Raw genomic sequence first — 6046 nt, forward strand, 5'->3', positions numbered from 1 at the left:
AACACTCAATCTATAGCAACCATTCATGATCATGACAGTGTCAACCTGAAATAATCAAAAGGATCAAAAACCAGTTTAAAAGCGTTTATTCAAGCACAAAGCTGAGAATGGTCATTTGAGTAACATAGACTCCAAAGAACTGGGTTCAGTGATTCAGGATGAAAAGTTAAGATCTTGCTTATACAGGCAGAAAACAAAGAAATTTAGTAGGATTATAACATTTTCTATACAAGGCTGGTTCATGAGGTACAACAATTGTATTATTTATAGTTTGTTTTCTTTTCCATCCAGCTTGTTTTCTTTTCCTTTCCAATTTAAGAGGCTGTATTTGACAGTCCACTTTAGACAATGATAGCCAAGAGGTCTTTGTGTGATTCCAATCCCACTTTTGTGAGCTTAGGCCAATGGACGCATCCTCACTAAGTCACAAGTTTCTTTTTTCTTCTTACTGAGACAGGGTCCTACTCTGTCACCCAGGCTGGAGTGCAGTGGTGCAATCATAGCTCACTGCAGCCTCAAACTCCCATGCTCAAGCAATCCTCCCACCTCAGCCTTTTGTGTGGCTAGGACTACAGAAAGGGAAGTTTATCTAAAGTGAAGATCAACAGTTAAGAGGGAAAGGGTCTTCTCTGGAGCCCTTTAGTCCTTTACAACATTTACAATACAATATAGGCAGGAGAAAGGCTAATCTAACCAGAGAAACAAAGGTGACAGGTGCCCAAGTTACAGCTGCCTCTCATGTGGTTCAGGCCCTATAATCACATTCCCTTAAGGCTCAAAATGCTTTAAAGTTCCAACAGCTTAGATTTGAATTACTTATTTTCACAACAGTAAATGGTAATAAACAGAGAAGTCAGTATTTGAACTCTCTGTTAGCCTGAAGTCATCAATTACTAATCTCTACTAACCCTTCTGGCAAGGCCTTTGCCCACCTCAGGGTGATGATAAGGAGAGACTTGGAGCTGAACCTGGGAGCCAGAGATCATGCAGGTTTGCAGACCAGGGCAAGACAAGAGCACGGATTGCCCACCCCAAGCAAAAGGCAGACCAGCCAGCAGGAAGCTGTGATCAGGGGATGGAGTGCTCTCATTGACCAGCCTGGATTTCATGCCCATCACGGGGCTACACATCCCCAAGGCCAAGTTCAATGCTTGGCACAGATTAGGCACTCACTGAATACTTGCCTATTATTTCAGTTTACTCTTACTGCATAGTGAACCACCCAAAGCATAGTGGCTTAAAACAACTGTCACTTTATTTAGCTCATGATTCAATAGGTTTGCTGGGCTGGCTCACTGGAGCTGGATGGTCTAAGGTGGTTCACTCACAGGTTAGCAGGCTGGTTCCAGGGGACACACCAGTTGGGCCAGCTTAACTGTGCTCCACAAGGTCTCTTGTCATCCAGCAGGCTATCCCGGGTCTCTTCACATGGAGGTCAAAGGGCAGCAAGAGAGGACCAGCCTCAGTGTGCGAGTGCTTGCCCAGCCTCTGCTGGCAATGCATTTGCTAAGATCCCAGTGACTAAATGTCATCATGTAATCAAGCTGAAATTTCAGATTTGGAGAACTGGACTTCACTTCTCCATGGGAGAGGTGCATTGCACACAACAGGCATAGGAAGCATTTGTGCCATTTTCATTGCAGTCTACCAAAGTGATGGAGTAAATGAGTCAATGAATGAATACAAGGACAGAAAGTGACTCATGAAAAGGTTCTGTGCAAGTTGAGCCCCAGAATTCCATCCAATCTCAGAACCTCTTAGATTCCTCTATCCATGGCAGGAGGCAGAGAAAAGAGCAAAGCCTTCCAATGAGACTCAGTGGCTGGAAAGAGGACTGCAGGAGCTAGGAGCTCACCAATGGTTCCACGTGTTCAACTAAACCTGGGCCTCTTGCAAACTCTCTTCCCCAGGGCCTGGCCCCAACTAAGTGGGAGAGGAAACATGTCAGTGTGGTCAGCTGGTCCCTCTGCCCCGGATCCCTGCTGCCTGTCTCTTGCCCTAGCAACACCTGGCCCAACTGGGAGCATTACTCCAAATCCCCACTATGCCCCCATGTGACGCACAACGCTGGGAAGTGTAATTGCTGTAGTGATTACTTACAGCCATTACATTAAGTTTTAAAATGTTCCCTTCAAATTGAACAATGTTTTTTCAAAGTCAACAGCTGGTTCACAGCTTGAATGCAACCGTTAGGATAAATTAAATAAAAAGGGTAATAAAATCACAGCCTAAATTTAATTTCTGAAGAGTGCATAGGCTCCAAAAAAAATAAGCATTTAAAAATGCCTTTGAAATATAGCCAGAAAAGCAGAAGTTAATTCACTCCCTGATTATGTCAGCTAATGGACACACTGGCACAATTAACTACATAATTGCAGTAGTATAGACAAAGTCCTGAGCTCATGCCCGGGTTCTGCTGTACAGGCCTCGGACCATGGGAAGGACTTACCAGATAGGTGGCTCGTATATGCAGATGTCCCTACAAATAGGCTCAGAAAAGAGCTCCCATCTCTAGAAGCAAAATAACACCAAAGATGATATCCACAGCCTCCATCCCAGCACATCTTCTGGTTGCCTGGAGCTACCTGGAGCCATCTCCCGGACAGGAAGGCAGGGCGGCAAGGGCTTCGTGGCACTGTGTTTGCAAACTTCAGCTACTGAATCCTTTTCACTCAAAGGCAACTTACTTTAGTGATCATCAAAAAAGACCCATCCAGCATTTCTCCCAGGCAACCCTACCTTCCAAGCTTAGGAGTCTGGCAGGACTTGAATCCCACAGCTGTCATTTATTTGCCATGTCACTTTGGACAAGTGATCAGCTCATTTCTCTGCGCCTCAGTCCCCTCCTTTGTAGAAAGGAAACTCATTTGTTCTTTCATACATTCAAGATATATTCAATATATATGTACTGAGCATCTACTCTGAACTAGGCCCTGGCACAGGTAGCCAGGAGATAGCAGCGAAGGCAGAGATCCCTGCCAGAAGGGGAGAAGAGGTGTAGATCCAAGTAGCGGAGATCAACAATGAGCAAGACCAGGACGTACTGTGTATAGAATGGGAGAAGATAATGCTTGCTTGGGGAAAATAAAGTAGGGAAAGAGAATAAGGAGGGAGGGAAGGAGTGTTGTAATTTTAAATAAGGCGTTTGGGGAAAGCCTCACAGAGAAGGGGAGGTTGGAATAATGGCCTGATGAAGTAGGGAAGGAAGCCAGCCACGTGGATATCTGGGTGCAGAGTTCAGGCAAAGGAAAAGTGCAAAGGCCCTGAGGCAGGAGTGCACCAAGAGTAGTCCAGGAACAGCAAGGAAGCCGGGGCGCCAGAAGCACAGAGACTGGTAGAAAGTGAAGTCTGAGGCCAGATGTGGTAGCTCACACCTGTAATCCCAGCACTTTAGGAGGCTGAGGCAGGTGGATCACTTGAGGTCAGGAGTTCAAGACCCACCTAGCCAACATGGTGAAACCCTGTCTCTACTAAAAATACAAAAATTAGCCGGGTGTGGTGGCGCACACTTATAATCCCAACTTTTCAGGAGGTTGAGGCAGAAGAATCACTTGAACCCAGGAGGCGGAGGTTGCAGTGAACCAAGATTGTGCCACTGCACTCCAGCCTGGGAGACAAGAGTGAGACTCCATCTCAAAACAAAAACAAAAACAAAAAAGGAGGTCAGGGAGCTAACAGGAGAATAAGAATAAGATCTAATTCGAAGGGATAATCATGCATCCACTCAACTAGTATTCACTAAGTGCTTAATCCATGTCAGAGAGTTGCTGTGAGGATTAAATCAGATAAAGCGAAAGCACAGGCAGCTCCCAGCATACAGTAAGTGCTCAATACATGTCACCTATTAGAAGAGGACGCCCCTGCACTCTGGGCAGGTGGCAGCATAGACACTGCTCAGGAGAACCTGGGTCCTGGCCCTGCTTTCTTTCCCGGGGTAAGGGTGCAGCCTCACTGCTAGGGAACCTGGTTCCAAAGCCATTAGTGGTCAAAGTTAGTGCCCAGGTTGCTAGGGAAGTTCCTCCACTGTCAGGTTCAAGCATGTAAGGTTTAGGCCACAGCAAGAGCTCTGCTGCTCTCTCGGCTCTGGAAGGGCCATAGCTACAAGGAAAAGGATACAGAAAGCTGACAACCAGGGAGGGAGTCAGGGGAAGTTCATGGCAAATAAACGGACTTTGCTCCTGCTCTGGGGAACCACGCTTGTGCAGCCTTGGCTAAGGAATGGGTCACTTATCAGGGTGTGCATGCATGTGTGTATGTGTGCAGGCGTGTGTGTATGTGTGTAAGTGCGTGTGCACGCTCGTGCATGTAGGCACGTGGTCTCCTGTCTCTAAATCTGTAGCCCACCTGCAATGCTACAATTATCTACTCTTAACGCTCCTTGTTCCCACTCAGCCTGGGCACACGCAATACCCTGGTCGGCCACAAGGGGGCTCTCAGCGTTCCCCTTCCCCCTCCCTCCACCCATTAACGCACTGGGCCGCGGTTTGTGGTGGTGGTACACAAAGGGTTAAAAGCGCCACCTTAGAGGCAGGAGGGTCGCTTGAGGCCAGGACTTCCAGACCAGCCTGGCCAACACAGCAAGTCCCCCATCGCTCCAAAAAAAAATTAAAAATTAGCCGGGCAAACCATTCAAACCATCTCTGATGGGCCAAAACTCGGTGATTGGCACAAGAACCGGTTACAGTCTCTTTACACCTCCGTTTAGGTTACAGTTCACCATGTACGGAGAACCCTTTAGGCCAAACTTAAAATACGTAAGGAGGCAGCTTTAGGCTAAACTTGATTTAACACGTATGAAGGCATGCACAGGAAAAGACCTGGAAATGATGCTCAAAGGGGTTAATAGTGATAGACTCTGGACAGAAGGAAAGGAAGCTATTATTTTCTTAGTTATGTGTTATCCACATTTTCTAATTTTTCTAAACATGTAAAGATAAAATTATATTCTTAAAAATAAATAAGACCTCAGAACAACAAAAAGGAATTAAATAAAGTATAAAATAGAATATAATCAATACGCTGGGTGCGATGGCTCACGCCTGTAATCCCAGCACTTTGGGAGGCTGAGGCAGGTGGATCACTTGAGGCCAAGAGTTTGAGACTAGCCTGGGCAACATGGCAAAACCCCATCTCTACAAAGAAAAAGAATAGAATCAACCACACACACACACACACACACACACACACACACACGCAGATTGTCAGGGAAGTGCTTCTCAATCTTTGTAGCACACATTAATGTCCTGGTCGAATTCAGCAGTTCTGTCATGGGGCCTGGGAGTCTGCATTTCTGACAAGCTCCTGGATGTCAAGGCAGCTGCTCCAAGAATCCCACTCTTTATAGTGGTAAGGCTAGGGGCTTATTGTAATTTCTATCCTAGTGGCTGTCACAATCCCCTTTCTCTTCCTTCTCAGGTCAGATATCTGTCACGTATTGAAGCATCATTTATAAAAAAACAATACTTTGTTGTTGTTTTTTGTGTTTGTTTGTTTGTTTGTTTGTTTTTGAGACAGGGTCTCACTGTCGCCCAGGCTGGAGTGCAGTGGTGCAATCTTGGCTCACTGCAATCTCCACCTTCCAGGTTCAAGTGTTTCTCCTGCCTCAGCCTCCCGAGTAGCTGGGATTACAGGCGTCTGCCACCAGGCCTAGCTAGGTTTTTGTGTGTGTGTGTACTTTTAGTAGAGATGGGGTTTTGCCATGTTGGCCAGGCTGGTTTCAAACTCCTGACCTCAAGTGATCCGCCCACCTCAGCTTCCTAAAGTGCTGGGATTACAGGCAGGAGCCACCATGCCCGGCCATAAAAAACAATATTTAAAATAATTCAAGTATCCATGTATGGGAGACTGGCTACCTGAACCTTGGTATATCTATACAATGGGAGGTGTGCAATAAACGTTTAACAACCAGCTGTCTGAGTGGGAAGCCCTGAGGTAGACAGTTTGCCCATTTCTGTTGTGCAAATACTACCACTGTGGCCTATTTCAAGCCACCTATGTGAAATCAATTGGTTCACAAAATCGCTGAAGGTTTAGCAATCAGTTCTTC

General features: G+C 46.2%; 1 long non-coding RNA gene across 1 annotated transcript; it reads right to left on the reverse strand.

Annotated features, from left to right (window-relative positions):
• Positions 1 to 529: 529 nt before the first annotated feature.
• On the reverse strand, positions 530 to 3351 carry LOC105371155 (uncharacterized). Its single transcript, XR_950956.2, has 3 exons — positions 2740 to 3351; positions 2450 to 2635; positions 530 to 1923 (listed from the first exon to the last, which is right to left on the reverse strand). It is a non-coding gene; the product is annotated as an uncharacterized LOC105371155 (long non-coding RNA).
• Between the last annotated feature and the right edge of the window lie 2695 nt (positions 3352 to 6046).

Source organism: Homo sapiens, chromosome 16 (assembly GCF_000001405.40).
Source record: "Homo sapiens chromosome 16, GRCh38.p14 Primary Assembly".
NCBI classification, from domain to species: domain Eukaryota; kingdom Metazoa; phylum Chordata; class Mammalia; order Primates; family Hominidae; genus Homo; species Homo sapiens.